Genomic DNA, 22,219 nt, shown 5'->3' on the forward strand with positions numbered 1-22,219 from the left:
CCATTACTTTTTTCTTAACAAATAGAGAAAAATAAATAGATGAATGTAATATGAGGCCTTAACTAAAGTTTAACTGGCTGTAAATGTTCCATTTTCAGTGAAAAGGCTGCATTGAGAGACCTTAGTAAAGCTTACATTGTACCTGAATTATACAGGTATTTGTCATCTCTGAGCCATCATGAAGAACGAATGAGTTTTGAGACTTGGCATTGACAGTGCTCAGTGTTGGTCTTCTGTGTATAGCTTGGTGGTGGAAGCTTACAGGGTACCTTCAGTTTCAGCCACTGCTTTGAGGCCCCCTTCTGGTTCTGCCTGGGAAAGGAGACTTCTGAGCTCCTCACAGCTCTTAATGTGGGAAGGAAAACAGATGAAATGTTTTTCATTTAATAACCTTATTTTGTTAAACTGTATTGTTTTTCCCAGGTATATCTCACACCAGGATTCCCAGTAAGAGTAGCTCAAATGTCACACAGTGATTTCTATAGCACAGCCAGGCAATTCAATGAGTACCTATCAACTTGTAGTCCACTCCTAGCATCTTGGCTTTTCTTGAACAGACCCCAAAGAGCCCACTAAAACATTTCTGATATTTTACCCACATTGGATTGCTTCTGTCATTTTCTTGATAACCTAGATTTTGTTGCTTTGAGGTCTTTTAACCAGCTCTAACTTGAAGAGCTAGCTAATTTTATTGTTTTTATACCCGTTAGTAGTATGCTAGAGATACCATATTGTGGTGTATAATTTTTGCCTTTACTTGAATTAAATCAGTTATTGGAGCATTTAATTGTTGTGTACTTCACGAAGCAATTTAGAATCATTGAAGCAATTAGTGTTTTTGAGATATATTCAACCTTCCAGTTAAGAAACCTGTACCTAGTCTCCTAAATTGCTTACAGATGTTAAATCCCTTATTCAATGTCTGTGGCAGGTTAAATAGTATCTTATATCTTATGTCCTTTGACATACAATACCAGATGAAATTATATAATACCAGTAATGTCATAGAATAATTTTTGGCTTTGGTAAATTACGAAACTTTTAAAAAAATTATATTATGAGATTTTGTGCACAAGGTATATTAACTAAATCTAAGGCAACAAAGTTTGTTTTTGTATTTCAGAGTTTCTGATATGTTCTTTTAAAAATGCAAATAACTAGTTATCTAGATAAGAAGAAAAAGCCTTAAAATTTAAAAAATAAATAAGGAAAAAAATTTAAAATGCCAATAACTTTAAAGGTGTAAATAATAGCTATTTGTTAATATAATAGCAGATTTAATTAATAATTAGTAATATAAAATTGAACATTTTGAAAAGGAGAGAAAGAAATCTTATCCAGGATTATCTTAAAAGCAAATTTTTCCTCACATTGCATGGCCCAAAAGTGATTAACAATTTAAAAAATAATTGTAAAGTACAGATCAACTAGAAACGCTTTCAGCTACAAGTTTTATGCACAATGAGATAAAACAATAGGGATTTATTTTTCCAGAACAAGAAGTCTGAGGAGAGTAGTTGTTTGCTTTTTGTTTACAGGCTCGATGTTGTCAGAATTTTGTCCTTGTGATTTCTCTTGTGCTTGCTGTAAGACAGATGCCTCTGTTGATCCAGATATCACACTGTCATTCAAAGAAGGAAGAATGAGAAACAGTTGTTCCTGTTGAGTCTTTCTCTTTTAATCAGGAAATAAAAGCTTTCCCAAAGATCCCCGGCAGATGTCCACTGTGCACTAACTGGCTCATGTCATATGGCTGCCCTAGCTTTAATGGAAGTGGAGATATCAAAGACTTTTGGCTTCTGTGGTAGATGGAGCAGGGGAACAAAGGTTTGAGAATGACTTTTGGATAACTGTCAGTAGTTTCAGCCATAGTCTGATGACTAAAACCATGTTTATTTTAAATTTTATTTCTTCTCATTGTTATCAATTTTGTGCCGTTTTGTGTGTGTGTGTGTGTGTGTGTGTGTGTGTGTGTGTGTGTAGAAGTTTAGCAACTCTAACCTTCCCATACCAAGTGTTCACTTCAGTGATTTCCAAATTTTAAGTCCCTGAGCAAAGGCATTCCTCAGAAACTGATGGTATCTCCAGTTAAAAGGCCATCTAGCTAATATTGCATCTAATATTTTTCCTATACTTTGCATTACAAACACTTTTCGTAAAACTTGATGGTTCTATAATAAATCTGCTTTAAATCTAAAAATATTCAGTAATCTCTCCATATAGACTGCATTAAAAAATATGGGTATAATACAAATACAAGAAAAATTGAGTATTAGGATTTCTTTTATGAAGATTTTCTTAGCTGCCTGAAAAAGCAAAATAAGCCATTATTCCCTAGAGGAGAGCCTACTCTAAAAATTTATTACCCTAGAAAATGGTGTTATTATCCATTTCAAAAATGTGAAAAATATGAACATCTATAGAGTGATTATTACCTAAATTATGACTCATTCATACAGTGACACTTTGATACTCATGGTTTTGGTGAATTATGATTCCTTGAGGTAGGAAAGTCTGAGAAGAAAATTGAAATTGAGAAAATGTAAATAAGTACATTAATTTTTTTCTCTGCCTATAAAACTCTCATAATCAAAGATACTGACTTGGCAAAATTGTAGTTGTCTTTGCATTTCTATATCAACATTTTTACTGCCTGATTTTTACATTTCTATCATGTTACCCTAGGTGAATGGCTTTATCGGGATAAAGCTTTCCAGATAAGAGTCACGTGTAAATTTCTAAACTCTTCTACAAACAATCTCTAGTGTGAGTTTGGATTCTATAGGGGAATATAACAAAATATATAAAATTACTGTCTGGCATAATCTTTTGTCAATATAGTTAATAAAAGAAGGCATTGGAAGACACATTTACATTACAACAAGGATATATGACTTAAGGCTATGATATTACAGCAGTTACTATTGTAGAAAGCCAGAAGGAGAAGAAATTGGTCTATGTGGTAATCAGGAAAGGCTTTAAGGAAGAATTAGGGCAGCTGGTATGTTGGTTAATTGCAGGGGATGGCAAGCTAGGGCCTACAGTCACACTACCTTGTTTTATAAATAAAGTTTTATTGTAACACAACCATGCCCATTCATTTACATCTTATTAAGGCTGCCTTCTCGGTACAACAGCAGAGTTGAGTCATTGCAATGAAGACGTGAACCACAAGACTAAAGTATTTCCTATCTGGCCCTTTTAAAAAAATTTGTCAAACACTGGTTAAGAATGTCAGCTCTACAGTCAGACAAAACTGAGTTCAAATTTTTGTTCCATAATCATTAGCTATATGATATTCAGTATGTTACTTAATCTCTCTAAACTTTGGTTTTGTGATATGTAACTTTACTCAAAGGTTGTTTATGTTGACATAATGAGATTTTACACAGAGTGCATTACACAGTAACTGGCGTGTAGTAAATGCTCATTAAATGTTATTTTATTAAACGTTAGGTTTTATTTTATGATAATTTATTTTGTAAGTGAACTATAACTTTTTTTACTCAAATAGGGATTTGAAGCTCTCATTTTAACTCCTCTTCAAACTGCTAAAATAATGTTCAGGACACTAGGAAGGGTATCATCTAATTGTGAGAAATTTAGAAGAGTTGCACAGAATATTGTACTAGGACAGTAAGATTAAGAGCCAAATGACCTAAGTGTATGGAAAAAGTAATGCTACACTTTAAAATATAGTTAATATTTTAACTATATTGTTATTTTTTATATATATAACTATATTTAAATATTTTATATTTATATATAAATATATATAAATATAAAAATATATATATAAATATATATATAAACATATATAAATATATATAAAATATATATAAATATATAAATATATATATTATATATAACTATATTTATATATTAAATATATATTATATATAACTATGGTTATATATATATATAATATATAAATATAGTTATATATATAATATATATATTATATATAACTATAGTTATATATATATATAAATATATATATATCAACTGAATAGCTTATTGAGTATTGAAGGGTGCCAAGCCAGTCAGTTTTTTATAAGTTAAGATACTTTCTCAGAATTTAGAAGAAAATTATATTTAAGGGTAGGGGAACCTAATATAGTAAAGAGGAGACATCACTACCAATCTTACATAAATAAAAGTATTGTTGGAGAACACTATGAACAATTGTATGGCAAAAGATTAGATAACCTAGATGAAGTGAACAAATTGCTAGAAAGACACAAACTACTGAGACCAACTTAAGAAATAGAAAATTCAAATATAGACTCAAAAATGCTCAACAAAATACTAGCAACCAAATCTGGCAACAAAAGAATTATATACCATGATCCAGTAAGTTTTATTCCAGGAATAAAGGTTGGTTTAACATGAAAATCAATTAGCATTACATACTATATCAATGAAATAAAAGACACATAATTATCTCAATTGAAGAAGAAAAATATTTGGCAAAACACACTTTCATGATAAAAACATTTAACAAACTAGGAGTAAAAAGAAACTTCCTCCACGGGGTAAGTACATCTACAGAAAACATAAATAATTTTTTTAAAAAACATAGCTAACATTTGGTAGTGAAAGTCTGAATATTTCCCTTTAAGATCAGGAATAAGTCAAGGATGTCAGCTCTCACACTTTTATTCAACACTGTATTGAAGGTTCTAGCCAGGGAAATTAGGCAAGAAAAATAAAAAGCTCCCATACTAGAAAGGAAGAAATAAATTTCTATTCACATATGAATTGGTCTTGTATATAGAAAATCCTAAAGAATCCACATGAAAAACTATTAGAACTAATAAACAGGTTCACCAAGGTTGCAGGATAGAAGATCGATATAAAGAAACTAATTGTATTTTTATACACTAACAGTGAATATCCAAAATCAAAATTTTAAGATCCACTTAAAACAGCATAAAAAGGAAATAAAATACCAAGGAATGAATTTAACAAAAATGCAAGAATTTTACAACAAAAACACCAAATGATGTACAAAACATCACAAAGAAATTAAAGAAGACCTAAGTAAATTGAAAAGTATCTCATGTTCATGAGTTGAAAGACTTAATATTGTTGGGATGGCAGTATTCTCCAAATTAATATGCAGATTTAATGAATCAAAATGTCAGCCACTTTTTTTGCAGCAATTGACAAGTTGAACTTAGGACTCACATAGAAATGCAAGGAACCCAGATGTATGTGTCAGTGGAACAGAATTCAGAGTCAGGAAATAATTCTTTACATTTTCAGTCAATTGATTTTCAACAGGGTGCTGAGACAGTTTAATGGGGAAGGATATTTAACACATGATACCGAGGCAACTGGATATCTACATGGAAAAAAATAAAATTGGGCTCTACCTCACACCATATACAGAAGTGTTACTTAAAATGGATTACAGGCCTAAATGTAAGAGCTATAACTATAAAACTTAAAACAGGAGTAAATTATTACCATGCATTATACAGTAGTTTCTTAGATATGACACCAAAAGTACAAGAGACATAATAAAAACAAATTGGACTTCATCAAACTTAAAACTTTTGTGTTTCAAAGGACACGAGTTGAAAAGATAAGCCATATAATGGGAGAAAATATTTGCAAATCAGGCATTTGAGAAGAACCTTATATGCAGAGCTCATAAATAACTTATAATTCAACAATTTAAAACAATGCAATTAAAAGTAGGCAAAGGATATGAATAGACATTTCTTCCTCCAAACAAGATGTAAAAATCCAGGAAGCATATGAATAAATACAGAGCATTATTAGACACTAGGGAAATGCAAATCAAAACCACAGTGAGCTACTACTTCACACAAACTAGGATGACTAAAGTCAAAGAGACAGACACCTGTAACAATAAAAAGTACTGGTGAGGATGTGGGAATATTTGAACCCTCATAATATTTTTTGAAACTCATAAGGTTTTGGTGAGATTGTAAATGATGCTGTCACTTTGGAAAACAGTTTAGCCATTCTTCAAAATATTAGCCACAGAGTTAGCCTATGACCCAGCAGTTCCACTGTAGGTATATGCCGAAAAGAGTTGAAAAAATGTTTGTCTACACAAAAACATCCACAGGTGTTCATAACAGCATTATTCATAAAAGTGGAAACAATCCAATGTTTGTCAGTTAATGAATGGATAAACACAATGTTGTATAGCCATCCAGTGGAATATTATTTGACGATTAAAAGGAATGAGGTACTGATACTACAGCATGGATGGCCCTTGAAAGCATATTAAGCAAAAACACCAAACACAGCAGGCCACATTTTATGTGAAATATCTAGAATAGGCAAATCCATAAAGACACAAAGTAGATTACTAGTAAGGGACAAAGGGGAATAGGAAGTGACTGCAAATAGTTATGGGGTTTCTTTCTGGGGTGATGAAATGGTCTAAAATTAGATCTTGGTGATGGCTGCACAGCTTGATGAACTTCTTAAAAACCACTAGATTGGCCGGGCACGGTGGCTCAAGCCTGTAATCCCAGCACTTTGGGAGGCCGAGGCAGGCGGATCACGAGGTCAGGAGATCGAAACCATCCTGGCTAACACGGTGAAACTCTGTTTCTACTGAAAATACAGAAAATTAGCTGGGCGTGGCAGCGGGCGCCTGTGGTTCCAGCTACTCGAGAGGCTGAGGCAGGAGAATGGCGTGAACCCGGGAGGCGGAACTTGCAGTGAGCCGAGATCTTGCCACTGCACTCCAGCCTGGGCGACAGAGCGAGACTACGTCTCAAAACAACAACAACAACAACAAAACACTAGATTATACACCTTAAAAGGGTACATTTTATGATATGCGAACTATATTTTAATAAACCTGCTTTTTAAGTGAATATAATATTTAAAACTTTTAAAAATAGGAGTTATGGAAGATAGAATTATGAGGAACCCAGACTAGCAGATAAAAAGTAATGTAGAATAAAAAATTCATTCTACATCACTTGGCCTCACAGAACACCATGAAAAATTAGTGAAGAGAAACTAAGACCTACCCACACTTTGTTAAAGTTTTTTTGTGTTTTGTTGTTTTTTTTTTAATTTCAAAATGAAGGCAAGGAAAAAGCCTAAGCAACTTTAAGCAGATAAAAATAAAGGAGGCGGAAATATCAGCTTATCTTAATACTTCTTTATATCTTATTTTTCACTCAGAAAATATAATACTTAGGAACAAAAAAGTGTGATCAAAACAAAAAGAAAAAACTAGAACTTTAAGATAGAATGACAAATACTAAACAAATATATTGCAGTTATCAACAGCTTTAGTCCATTAGTGAAACACAAAATCCATCATACTGGATAGAAAAAAAAAGTCAAACTATTTAATATTTAAAAGACAGGAAGTTAAGCAAAAGAATACTAGTTTAAAGTAAAAGGATGATGAAGCAATAAATAGACAAAAATAAGTTTTAAAATGTAAGGCAGCTATATTTGTATAAGACAAGGCAGAATTCGAGGCAAAACCTTTAAGGTCAAGGAAGGTAATTTATATTGATAAAGGTGTAATGCATAGTGAAGACTGAATAGCCATGAGCCTATTTATGTCAGTCACATAGAACTAACGTCGCTAAACCAGTCTGAAAAAGAACTGTAAACATGGCCTTTGGTGCCAGATCTTGATTCAAGAGGGAAAAAGTAAATAGTCATGCAACATTAAAAATAAGGAAGGGATAAAAATGGACTTTGGAAGAAATGGAGATGACAACGTCTCAGAGGTGGTAGCATTGATGATGCGGATTTGAGGGAATTTGAGTATGAAATCAACTAGTTTTGTCCCTGAATTAGCTCAGGGATTACAAAATAGGTCAGCAGTCAGCACACAGGTAAGACAGAGTGTGTTACTCTGTGTGTGTGTGTGTGTGTGTGTGTGTGTGTGTGTGTGTGTTAACTGTATCTAAATACCAGTTCTCCACAATGAGTACCATGCTCTGTTGTCTTACACTGAGCTCTTTTTGGTCATTTTCCCAGCCTCCCTGGCCTCTGTAGGCATTTGGGTTTGTTACCACTAGTTTGGGATACGGGAGAAACTGATGAAGAGGAGTAAGTTTTGAGTCAAGCAGCAGGAAAAGAAAGAATAATTGTAATAATTCAAAATGTAACCGTTGTAAATGAGCTGAAAACGTAAAGCATTTAAATCTTTACAAGGATTATATTTATGTACATTCAGTTTGCTTCATGTTATTAAAAATTACTCACTGAGATATTGATATATCACTATTTTGAAATTATCCCCTTGCTTTTATGATTAAGGAAGTCAACTTTCATTAAAATACTGAATCTCATTTCCTCTCTTCTGTGTCTTAAATTTTTGTTTGTGTTTTTTTGCTCTAGTTTACTCTCATACAATGTTCCTTTTATGTCTTACCTTACCCTAATGGGAACATTTTATTTTTTGGTTTGACTCCTTCTCAACATCCACAAAACATATGAAGACATCTATGCTTTTTACCATCATTAAAACATAATGTTCAGCTAGCTGCCTGGCATGAATAATCCATCACTGAGGACCATTAACCATACATGACAAGCTACAGTACAGTAATTGCTATCTTTATACAAGACAATTGTGACTATAAGGCTGATGACTTAAAACCATAAACCCAGTCTCACTTTAAATCTAATAGTGCACCAACTGATATTTTAAGTAGTGTTCTCTTTTCTTCTTTTTAGAATGACTTATAAATGAGAAACTTTAACAGGAATATCTCATTTATTAAAAGGATCCAGAATTTCCACTGTAACACACCTTAGAATGCAGGAAATAAGCTTACAAACCCAGCCAAATTCCTTGCTGTGAAATTCACCTTATTTATCCATTAGCCTTTATGCAGAACCTGTTTACTGTTAATAAACTGTTTAATTTACTATTGAATGCTGTTTATATGTTTAGACAAATTAACAGTGACTCAATATAAACAAAAGATGAGAGGGGAAAAAAGCTAAGAAACTAAGAAAGCATAGGTGCCGGAAGGGTTCATGTCTTGACCTCAGAGAAGTGCAGAGACATAAGCTGTGGGGCAGTATGTAGTGCTCAGTAGATACTGGCTGGGTGAATGAAGGACAGAGCCAGAAAGTTTTAAAAAATGACCTTCAGGCATAAGAAAGAGGATTAATTGTTACATTTCCACTTTTCTGGAAAAACTAAGTGAATTATATATTTTGTTAAAGTTTCATGCAAATGGGTAAAATAAAAATAAATTTCGGTGCTTAAAAAGTAAATTCACAGCTATTGATAAAACACCCAGCCGGGATGACTTATTTTCAGAGAAATTAAAGAAACCAAAGCTTTGCTTTTTTTTCTGGATGTCACTACATGTATATGTTACCCAAATATCTAAAATGACAGCACTGAAATGTCTGTTTCAGAAATGTGCATATGAAATGATTAATTACACATTATGTAACATATCTTCTTCCCAGGTTGAATTTAGCAAGCTCTATGAGAAATATTTTTTCAGCCATGCAGTGTAGCTTGGGAAAGTAAGAACAAGATGACTGCACATAGAAATTAATGAAATAGAAAAGGCAACATGGAGCAATGGGTTTGCCATCACGTGTTCGTGATGCTTATTTGTGTATCATGTGAAGGCTATTATTAGTATGTGAAGAGAAAGTGAAAGGTTTACAGGAGGCAGTGGGTGTTGTCTAGAAGGAAATCCAGAACTGCTTCACTGTTTCTGAGACTGAACTTTTTACTGTGACCTAAGCACTAATATCTTTACATCCATACATTATCACCCTTAATTTTTATGACAATCGTATGAGACAAGTACTATCATAATTCTCATTTCATAGATGAGGAAAGTGGGGCATAGAAAATCATATAGGTTATTTCAGGTATCACCACACAGTACCTAGTTTGCATTTGTTTCCAGCCAAAACATAGTTCTGCAATATAATTATGATCTCAGAAGTAACCAGAATACTTTGTGTATTTCTATGGAATTGTCCATATTTACTTCACAGTATTTGTATATTGTACCTTGCATTCTTCAACTATGAATTCTCTTGCATTCTTAAAAAATTAGACAGCTGCAATTACATATCTAAACCCTATAAAAATAATAAAATCAATATATAAAAACTCTAACTTCAGACAAAAACTAGAGAATGTTTCATGATAATATTAAAAAAAGAATAGAAAATCCACGGCAAGCTTACTTTAAATTAGGCATTTCAAACTGGCAGTTTGACAGACTGAAATCTTTCTGTCTCACCTCCTGCCAGCTAAATTATGTTTTGCAGAGTTTATTATGTTAGGAAAAAAAAGATTTTCTTTAGGTAAGGAATATCCTCTTCAGTTACCGCAGACTCCTCTATTCTCCATTATACTGGACCAATTCACACATTTATATTATCTGCTAAGAAACTGCAGACTTCTGAGTTTGTCAGAACTTTCAATCATGAGCACCTTGGTAAATTTAAAATATGCTATTGAATTATTAACATAGTTTTTGGAATATGTCTACTTGATAAAATGAGGTAGCCCTGTAATTACACAAAGTAAGTCAAACTGTATCAGAATAGTTTTTCAAAGCTTAGTCTCTATAAGCAAAGATTAAATTATTAAGCAGTCAACCGTATCTGTTAACTTCCTTTAAATGTTTTCTCCACATGGAAAGGAATAGGAAATAAGAGATTTTTCTTAAGCCAGATGAAAAATTTGAGATGTGTTAAATTACTCCGCTAAATATATAGATTTATCAGAGAATAGTGTTGAGGTTATCGACACAAATGGTGATGGGTTGTCAATGGCATTTTCAGGCTGTCAACTCAACTGTCAGGATGAAACTAATTGGTACATCATATGCAGCGTTATGTATGATTTGTTCTAATATCTTTTCCAGTACGGTATCTAGTATCTTTTTCATGTACGATAATAAAGCCTCCAATATTAGTGATTCTCCTTCATGTGTGAAGTGACATTTTAAAACTGTATACTGTCCCACAATATAAATGGATTTTGTTTCAAATTGTGTTGTATGAAATTAAACTTTGTGAAATTGCCAACATTTGACTATTTTTGACCTACCAAAAAAAGGTAATTTATATGGTTCAACCTAATACAATAGTTATGCCAAATGGGGAAAATGTTTTTCAAGAGAAACTGAAATACAGGTTTGTTTTGAGATTAGTAATAAACATGCATTGTGTTCCTGCTTTCTGCCAGACCCTGAGCTCTCAAGGAAGGTCATTTTCTCTCTTCATCCTCCTAAGTCTTGCATGTGTTTGGGTTTCCCAGAGCTTGGCCATAGGGCACCTCTTCTCCACACTCCCCAAAAACTCTAATCCAAATGTGCTCATAACTCCTAAATGTATCTCTAACCCAGACCTACACTCTGAACTCTGACCTTATTTATCTAACTACTTTCTTAACTCTCCAAGTGGATGTCTCATGGGCACCTCAGATTTACCTATCCAAAGCAAAATTCATGATCCCCTATCTCACCCCTCTCTGCTTTTGTTCCAGCCTTCTCCATCTTAATGAAGGACAGCTCCACCTACCTACCCAGCTGGCTGAGTTTAAACCTGGGAGTAATCCTGACTCGCCCTTCCTTACTGTTACCTCTGTCTTGTCCAATTTATTTTTTAAATAAGTCTATCCATAATCTAACTATCCCTTTTCTATCTTCATTGCAACCCCCATAGTCAACTATCTTCTCTCACCTGGATTGTTACAATAACCACCCAATTTCTTCTTCAGCTTCTGCTTGAGACTCCCCATACTCTCTCCTGTATAACTTTATAAATTATACTGTGTTTAGGAGAAAATGCAACATCCTTGCTGCTTACAAGGGCCTAGATAACCTAGCCCCTACCTCATAAGCCAGCCTCTTCTTTTCCTTTGTTCATTGTATTATTTCAGTTCTTTAATCACAGAGCTCTTTTCTGCCATCAGGCCTTCATATTATTCCCTCTGTCTGGAATACTGCTTCCCTCCTTAACTCTTATTTATCCTCATGTCTCAACTTAAATAACACTTGCTTAGAGAGGCCTTCCCTGATTCTCTCCTTAATCTAAAATAGGTCCCTGTTATTCTTTTATGTGACACACTATTACTTTTTATTCATTGCACTTAACACAGTTTTCAACTAGGTGCTTTAATGCATGTGTGTTCGTTTAATGTAAGCTCTGTGAAGGCAGAGCCCTTGTCTGCTGCTTTCACCTCCATGTCCAGGGCCCAGTACACAGTGGATGCTCTCTGCTTGAAATGAAAAGTATAGTCTATATTGGATGTCGATGCTTGAGGAAAGCCAGATGTTCAGAGGAGGATGTGAGGGGCTTTTGGAAATGTGGTATGGTTTCAAATCCCATCTTTGTTTTGGGTGACTTTTCTGAGCCCCTAGATTGTAAGCTTTCTCAAAGCAGTTATTTTGTCTATTTTGTGTAGAGGGCACTGCTCTATTCCCAGTGCCCAGAAAAGTGCTTGATAATTAGGGATGTTCAATAAATATTTGTTGAGTAAATGAACTGTTTCCTCTTTCACAAAGTTCCTTTCTCATGAAACTATAAGGGTGGTAAATAAAGAAAATATAGGAAGCATCTAATGTATAGCAGGTACTCAATAATGCCAGAAACCCTAGTGGGTTTTTCAAAACATAATTCTCACATTTTTTACAAGAGTGATTCTCAGAGGCCTTGGGACCCTATGAAGATTGGGGGTGGGGAGCAGTGAGGTGGGTATCTTAAACTTACCCCTGTGGCCTTTTTTCAAACTACCTAAACTTATACTTCATGTCCAGTGCCTACTACAGACTGGCTATTTTTCATGAAGAATATATCATATTCCTCAGGTGTGCTAAAGCAAAGATTAAGGAAAATATGTCTAAATCTTGCCTAGAACCAATGTCACAAGAATAATAGCTAATAAAGGAGAACTGTATATCAGAAGACTATCAGTGTTGTTAGGCTAAAGAATGTATATTAAAAAAGGAACTGTGAAATAATTATATAGTGATGCTACTGTCTCTCTTCTGGTAAGAAATATCAGAATGTGTGCTTGATAGAGTGTCTCTCTGGATATATTACCTTGGATTCAATTTTAAAGGCATTTGCTAGCCCTTAATGTTTTTTAAAAGGGGGAGAGGAGTAGATTTCTTATTCTCCAAAATCATGTATTAACCTTACTTCAAGCTGCTTTTTCAAGGGAAATATTTATACTCCCAGTAACTGGTTGGAAGAGATGCAGTTATGCCACATTTACCTTTGTTTTATCCAGTTTAAGAATTTGTGAGCTCTGTATTCATTTTTATACTGGTTAATTAGGCATGAAATCCAGGAGGGATAAAGGAATAAAGGTCAGAATCACCACAGGCTGTCACAAATCCCAGAAATAGGGGAAGTGAAAATTCACCAACCAATTGAACCACACATTACACACAGCTAGACCCTGGGCTACAGAGATGCATCTTCAGCAACTGGAATAGATGAAAGTGTCTCTTAAAGCCCTCCATTGATCTATAATTGTAAAATGTTTACAAGCATTTTGATTGTATACAACAAAAATAAGCAACTTTAAGTGTCCTACTTCTGTGGCACATACATTTTCATAATTTACAGATTCTATTATCTGTGCTTTCTTTAGTATATGTACACTGTTCAAATTTGAATATTCTAAATGTCAACAAAGAATAACATTAATGTTTATGACTTGGCCATAAGGAAATCCACAGTGCAAAATCTGAATTTTCACGTCCTTGGAACATACTGGAAGTGTCACTAATCAGATAAATCCACTAGAAGAAAAACTTCTGTTAGAGGTATAATCCAGAAGGGAAGTTGATTGAATACAACTGCATTATTTGGTTATAGCAGAACTGCCACACTATAGGATTTCCAGATTCATCCAGGTAAATCCTTTCATTTTCTTCCACTTCAGGAGTTCTCAATCTTTGCTGGTCTGCGTGTCCACCATGGAGTTCAGGTTCAAGCTATTTTTGTCCATGTCCTACCCAACCCTGAGTAGGTGCTTGCTTCTTGGATCCCTGCTAGCACTTTTTCATTCCCTATTAACTGACCACCTAGTTGGCCTCCTCTTCCTTCTTTCTTTCTTTCCTGCTGTTCACAGATATCTTTGATAGCTCCTTCCTGCAGCCTCATGCAGCTCAATGAACTGTTCTGCTGTCTGATCAAAACATTCATTCAACAAATCCCATTCCTTCTTGACTTTTATTCCAGTCTTTCAACAATCCTACCAGGTTACTGGGCCATAGCTCTCATTGTAAGCATTAAGATATAACTCCACAACTACATTTTTTTAAGTTTAGCTGTATGGGAAAGAATCATGCATATTAATCCATGACCTATTTCAGGATGGTAGTTTGGAAGCACTTCCTAATTAAGAAACTCTGAAAGAAAGCACATGGCATTATCACGATCACTCCAAATGGACCTCCTTTTAAAGTCATTTCAGATTTCACCAGCAGTGCACATTCACTCCTGATTTGGAGTAGGCAAGTGACCAAGGATACTGGTAGATTCAATATTTTAAAAGGAACTTACTGGTAAAAATAAGTTCTTGTTTCAAGGAAATAGATGATGGTCTTATAGTACTTCAAAAGGGCCCATTAAGATAGAGCTATACTTTGTAAAAATATTTGTTATTTTAGGTTAAGCAATTCAGAGAGAGGAAACCATAAGAAGGCTGTGGTTGGTACTGGAACCTTGTAAAATGAAGATCAAAATCACTGACTGTTCATACTTGAAATTACAATAAATGTAAAATGTGACCTTGGTATTATGGCATAGTCTTTTAAAAATGTCTTTGTTTTCATTTGTTTTTCACTTTCTTCTGTAATCTCTCAGATTCTGGTACTACTGAAATAGTTTAGCTTTGTAAACCTAAAGCCTATATTATTAGCTATTAAAACAAGTAGGTGTTGCTGATTTTTTTTTTTTTTTTTTTTTGGCTGTGGTCCGTCCTGCAGACCCCAGCTGCATGACGGATGAATAACGTACTCAGACACTGATATTCAGTGAAAGAGTTGGCTAGGGGACCAGGCCGCTGACTGAAAGAGATGTAGCAGCCATGACCCTGACTAGCTGGCTCCTCCGACATTTATTCAGCACACATTAAATGACAAAGGCTTTGAGTCAGCACCACTAGAGGCTAATTAACCTGGTCACTCTCCCCACCCCCTGACCCCTGCCCCCAACCCCAGAGAGCCATCCTGCCCACGAATGATCAAAGGTTAGTTTTAGGACCACATGAGTAAACAAGTTATTTAGATAAACTCCTCTACATTCCTAGGTATCCATGCCCTATGCTTTTAAGATAATTCAGCTGCTTTCAGTCAAACACTTTACTGAAGCTATGTAAACCCCCAGGCCTTCCAAGAAGTTTTGTGTTTATTTCCCATAATTTTACAATTTCTCCCACCATCCTGACCCAACCCCCACATTTTTTGAGACAATGTCTCACTCTGCTTGCCCAGGCTAGAGTACAGTGGTGTGATCTCAGCTCACTGCAGCCTTGACCTCCCAGGCTCAGGTCATCCTCCCATCTCAGCCTCCCAAGTAGCTGGGACTACAGGCATGCACCACCACATTCATCTTTGTTTTTGTTTTTGTTTTTGTTTTTTAGTAGAGATAGAGTTTCACCATGTTACTCAGGCTGGTCTTGAACTCCCCTACTCAAGTGATCCACCCACCTCAGCCTCCCAAAGTGCTGGAATTACAGGCATAAGCCGCAACACCCAGCCCTAAAATTGCTTTTGTAATTAAACTTCCAAATAAACATGTCTAGCCATTAGTTAAAAGATAAGTCATCTTTTTTTTTGAAAAATATATATAAGCATATGCCCCTTGTAATGACTATGGCAGTCATGCCATAAAAGCAATTTCTAGTCCACCACTGCAGTTATTTAGATTAGCTATTTGATTTCCATTAATCCAAAGAAGACCAGAACATCTAAGTATCTACAATATGCAACCAACTTTCTGCTTCAGACTTTATAAATAATGTATTCTGCGTCTCAGCTGACTCTTCGTTATGTCACAAGTCTAAGCCACCATGTAAAAAATAGACTTAGTGACTCTATGTAAATGAGGTTTTCTGCCTGTAGGGAATCAATTCTGTGAAATTCAGTGAGTAATAAAACAGCTACAAAGGATTTATTAAAGAGAGAAAAGTGCATCTATTACTGATTAGGATATTTTTAGGGAAAGGCACATTGAACAGCAACCTTTAAATAATCAAGTTAGTTAATCACAGTATCAAATGACTTTAGTGCTGGAAGGAATCTGAAAGATCAAAGACCAACCCTCCTGTTTTACTGATGAAGCCTAGAGCTTTTTCTAAGACCAGCTTTTGAAAGGACCTCACACTAAACTGCAAGGTCACTGAAGGCAGTGTATAATGGTTGCTTATATCCGTGGTGTTTGTGCAGTGCTTGGGATGTATTAAACACTGAAAATACGAATTTGCATGATGAATTAATAAATGATTTTATAAACAAACATGAGTAAAGGAATTAATATGATCTCCTTGGTGTTACATAGGAATTTCTGTTATACAAATCATAATGAACGTTAATGTTACCTGTTTTCAAAAAGTATTCTCGTTTTTAAAGGAGCCTCAATTAGTGAGATCTCTCTCTCTCTCACACACACACACACACACACAAAATATATATTACACTATTAGATATAGTCATTGAACTTGTAATCATACTCCGTGTTGGCCTCTGTATATTCAAATGAACCAGGGATATAAATGTTCCTAACTGTGGCTGGGTGTGGTGGCTCATGCCTATAATCCTAGCACTTCGGGAGGTTGAGGCAGGCAGATCACTTGAGTTCAGGGGTTTGAGACCAGCCTGACTAACATGGCAAAATCCCATCTCTAATACAAATACAAAAATTAGCTGAGCTTGGTGGCCTGCGCCTGTAATCCCAGCTACTCGGGAGGCTGAGGCAGAAGAATCACTTGAACCCAGGAGGCGGAGATTGCAGTGAGCCGAGATCACGCCACTACACTCCAGCTGGGGCAACAAAGTGAGACTCCATCTCAAAAAATAAAGAAAAATATAAATGTTCCTAAATGTTCTTCTTGACAATTGTCAGAAAACCAAATCTCCAGCCAGAGTATAAATGTCAGGGGTATTCAGCATTCTGATTTATGTAACACAAATCCCTATGCAACAGACAGGAAGTAATATTAATTCCTTTACACGGATTCATATTTTGAATGTCTCCGTATCTTTCTAAGTCTTTTGTCTTCATTCTGGACCTGCAGGTGTGTGGATCCGGTGCCCTGTGTCCCCTGATACCCCACACATTTTTTCTTGTCTAAGCTTACATTTTAATCAAGCTACATTTTTAAAGAGGTATTTCTTTGGATGGATTGATTTTTAACAAGACATTGATCTATGTGAGTTGGACCATCTAAAAAGTCCATAACAAATCTGGGACAATTTGAAAAATAAGTAATGATAGCAATGTATTATAGCCCGTAGAATAAAATAAATACCTATGAGTCTCTACTGACACAAAAAATAATTTCGATACATAAGTAAATGGGAGCAAAGGGACAGCTATTTCTTATAGTAGAATTCCAATTGATGAATGTAGAAAGAATGATGGAAATAGAAAAATCACAGTGTGTCAAATATGGCATTAATCATTGTTGCAGATAATCATTAACAGATTAAAATTAGTGTTCAAAGATATGATGAGTAACAGGATATTTGTATAACCTTAAAGTATCCAACCACATGACACTTTTTCACAGATTGGAGGAGACTAAGGACATGTGGCAACTCAATGCAATATGGGATCCTAGATAAAATCCAGGGTCAGAAAAAGATCATTATTGAAAAAATTTAAACGAGGTCTATAGATTACTCAATAACATTGTATCAGTGTTAATTTCCTGGTTTTGATGATTATGCATTAGCTATAAGTGAGATATTAACATTTAGAGAAACTGAATGAAGGATATATGGGAACTCTACTTTTTTTCAACTTCTTTGTAAGTCTAAATTTATTTCAAAATTAAAATTTAAAATGTTTTAAAAATAAATACAAAGGTTATAACACTCTCTTATATTTGAGTGGCTCTTTATAAAAGAAGCTTAAGAGATACAGATGTTTTTATGATCCACATTAGACACAGGAAATAGATTCCAGTTGTTTCAGTGACTTGCCCAAGGCCACTCATTATAGAGCCAGGTGTTCTGTTAGATTCCATTTTCCTCTCTACAGAAACTGCTGGGCTTTACTATTTCATTCTCATAACTACTTTACAAAGACAGAGAAGGCATATTGTTCCCATTTTATAGACTTTGAGTTCCAGAGATTTCTCAAAGACCTAAAAATAGAACTATCATTTTACCCACAATCTGACTACAGATTTTTTTTTACTACCCAAAGGAAAATAAATCATTTTATCAAAAAGACACCTTACTCATATGTTTATCACAGCACTATTCATAATAGCAAAGTCATGGAATGAACCTAAGTGTCCATCAACATTGGATAAAGAAAATGTGGTATATATATATATATATATATGCGCCATGCAGTACTATGCAGCCATAAAAAAGAATGAAATCATATACTTCGTAGCAACATGGATGTAGCCAGAGGCCTAATATTATCCTAATTAAAATAACTCAAAAAATCAGATACCAAATATTCTCACTTATAAGTCAGAGCTAAACACTGGGTGCACATGGATATAAAGATGGAAATAATAGACACTGGGGACTCCAAAACTGGGGAAGGTGAAAGGGGGTGAGTGTTGAAAAGCTACCTGTTGGATACAATGTTCACTATTTGGGTGATATTTTCACTAGAAGCCAAAAACTCAGCATCACACAATATGTCCATGTAACCTCCACATGTACTCCCTGAAACTAAAATAAAAATAAATGAAGTAATGAATGAGACTGAGTTCCAGCTAAAGTAAAAAAAAGCCATAAATAACACAGATTAGTGAGTAGATAGAAGTCCAAGTTTTCTCACTCTTAATCCAGTTTTGTTTTTATTCATATTCTGACAGGTATTTCTGTAGCATTCCAAGAGACAGACATTTCTGTAGTCAAGACACTGCATATATGTATGTACGTATGTATATATGCCACGTGTCCTTAGTTTCCAATCTGTGAAAAAGTGTCATGTGGTTGGATACTTTAAGGTTATACAAATATCCTGTTTCTCATCATACCTTTGAACACGTGTACATATATGAAAATAGATATGACTTGTTGGGGGTCATCTTCAATGAGATGAGCTTTGAAAGAAGATTAAAAGTTGGCCAGGTGAAAGGAATTAGGAATATCATTCTAAGTAGGAATGGTGCTTAAAATTCTGCTTCTGGCAAACTTAAATTAGTTATGATGTCTCATCAATTCCTCTGGGTTATCAACTAGATGTTACCATAGTTGCAATGGTTCTGGTAAAAGAAGTGCCTGCTGCCAGCTGGATAACTAATTTCAAATATATATATATATATATATTCCTGACTGGCTTGGGAACTGTGAGATCATATGCTGTTCTGGCACCAGGGCAGCAGCATAAGGCATCTGATCAGAGAATACATATAACCTCCAATCCTCTGATACTATGTCTCTGGGTTGAACATGCAGCCTCAGCTTTAATTGGTGAGCTGGTGACAAGAATTTCCTCAGTTCTGGAAGCCTGGCTCCAAATTGTGTGTGTGTGTGTGTGTGTGTGTGTGTGTGTGTGTGTGTGTGTGTGTCTTAACTGTGTTACAGCACTTAACCTGTTTAAACGCTATGGGTTGTTTAAGTGGAACATCTCTCTGGATTTATCTAATCTGGCCAAAGATTACGCAATTCAGATTACCTGAACTTGTCCTTTCCTTCATTGGTTTCAAACGTGTTCAGATTAGCCTACAAAGAGGATAAGTTCAACAAGGGAGATGTAAGGCATTAACATTTAAGATCAATTCATCACACAGTTCTGAAAATAACAGTGTAAAGGCAAGTTCAGGCAGAGTTAAACCAAATGATTATTTTCTGCAGGGTGGGTAGTTTTGGATCTTGAGCTTGTGTCATTGTTTTGGTGACATGCGGAATTTATGCATCTGTATTTGAACAAGATTTAACACTAGTACAACAGCTGTTCCTTAGAACAAATGAACTCTTTGCTTATATAAGAACCTTTAACCTAACCTAGAGAGGGAGAAAACAGTGCCTCATATGGTTTACTCACGTGTGATCTTTTGCCCCAAGCCTGCCTTCAGACTTTCGAACAATAGACTTAATACATTTGGGATTGCAGGTGTTTTTATAAGTGTATCCATTGCAAGACTAGCCACTGGGTTGCAACAGCTTTGAGGCTTGAAGAACCCAAATAAAAAGATGAAAAGTTTGGTGATAGAAATTTTAGTTTGTTAAACTATTCATTGTCCCCAGGTTAAAAACTTTATGGGCCTCTATTTAATGGCTGATGCCTTTGCCCAGATTCTCTGTTAATAAAACTAAATTCCCAATTGTAACAATTTCTAATTGTATCATCAAATGTAGTAGCATAAAAACTTTAAGCCATGTTTGCCTTAAAGATTTGATTGATGTGGTGGGGTGGAGGACTAGTGAGTAATACCTTTATTATCTGACTTGTGTAGGCTCATTCTACCTTAACCCACCCTCCAACCATTGTATAGTCTACTCATGTCCTAATTCCATAAGACATTAGAGTAATTTCTGTTGCATAAATGATAGCTTTCATTGCTTATAAAATGTGCTTCAATACACTCAATAATGTCTTCTTCAAACTTATATTGCATTGATTACATCTGGCAGCCCCATATGGTAAAACGTAGTTATGACCCTTCTAATTAAATTATAGTTAGAAACTCACTTCTGGGGTGCAGCTCAGCAATCTACCAAATTTCTCAGTGACATTCAGAACATGAAATAACTTGGGGAGAATAAATTTGCAACACAAATGGGAACAGAGGAGAAGGTTTTCAATCTCTATTTATTTTTCAAAATTCATTACTTGTACAATTTATTTTCCAAACTAATTCTAAGCAAAGATGAGTAATACTACCTTGGCAGGAGTCTGTGCTTAAGATATTTCCATATGTTTAAGCAGAAATACCTAGTATGGTACTTTCCCTATAAGTAGAATGCCATGAAAAACGTTCTTAAGACAGGTTCTCCAGCACCTCCTTCCACCCTTGGTCTCGATGAAGGACCCCATGTCCTATTTCACAGAGAAAAGGGAAACCTTCAGAAAACTTCCACACTCACTACCACTTGTTTCCACCCAAAAGCATCTGTACCCATGTACTTTACCTTTTCTCCTGTTTCTATAGATACGTTGTCGGTGCTTCTCTATAAGGTCAATGCCTCTGCTTGTGTTCTAGACTTCATTCCCTCTCCTCTCCTCATGATACCACTCCTGCAGTGCCCTTCTCCTCCAAATAATCAACTTCCCCCTCCCCTAGATCATTACCCCTAGGAAACAAACGTGCTGTTTTTTCTCCTGTCTTAAACAAACTAGAAAACGAAGAAAACTCTTTCTTGACTACTCCCTTCTCCACCCAGCTACTGTTCTTCAAGAGTTTTCTTTGCTCAGTTTCTAAATTTTTGTTCCCCATTCTTCCTTAACTCAGTCTAATGAGGCTTTCAGTTTCACTCTCCACCTCAGCCTCCCCATTCCACCTGTATTGGCTTCTTGCTGATCTGTGGATTAACCAGACTCATTCCTCAGCATTTGCACTTGCTAATCCCTGGCTTCTGACCCTAGATATCCAGAGTTTAGCTTCTTCACCTTCCTCCTTGAAACCTTTGTTCAAAAATCACCTATTCAGTGAAGCTTCCTAATCTTTTTATTTAAAATTGCGATACTCCCTCTCACCTCCTTACTTTCTTATCCCCTTTCACTGAGGTTTTTTTTTTCCAGGATATTTATCACATTCTAATATTCTACATGACTTATTTTCTAAATAAAATTCCTTACAGAGGTTTTTGAAGACTTGAATGTTTAACAGGCAAAGTAGATAGAAGCCTCCTTTACGAACAAATTGAATGCCCGGTGACATTCAATTCAAGGAGGGGATGTTGGGAAGGAAGGGGTCTGGACTTTGGAGCCAGACCTGATTGATTCTCTGCTTACTATTTTTCAGCTGTGTCATTTTAGGTAATCTACCCAAAGTCCCCAGGTCTCAGTTGGCTCATGTGTAAGTAGGGAAAATATACCTAAATCATTCATTCAG

The 22,219-nt window shown here is 35.2% G+C and overlaps 1 protein-coding gene across 3 annotated transcripts in view, besides 1 other annotated feature; it reads left to right on the top strand.

Annotated features, from left to right (window-relative positions):
• Positions 1 to 22,219, top strand: part of SERPINI1 (serpin family I member 1) — an 89,849-nt gene that overhangs the window by 5,158 nt on the left and 62,472 nt on the right. The gene's annotated exons all lie outside the window — the stretch shown is intronic.
• Positions 9,611 to 9,730: an enhancer, noted in NCBI's record as "active region_20772". NCBI's record gives its function as "activates an Ori minimal core promoter by ATAC-STARR-seq in GM12878 lymphoblastoid cells {active_cell/tissue: GM12878}" and the evidence as "EXISTENCE:reporter gene assay evidence [ECO:0000049][PMID:35858748]".

This window comes from Homo sapiens, chromosome 3, assembly GCF_000001405.40.
Source record: "Homo sapiens chromosome 3, GRCh38.p14 Primary Assembly".
Lineage (NCBI taxonomy): Eukaryota > Metazoa > Chordata > Mammalia > Primates > Hominidae > Homo > Homo sapiens.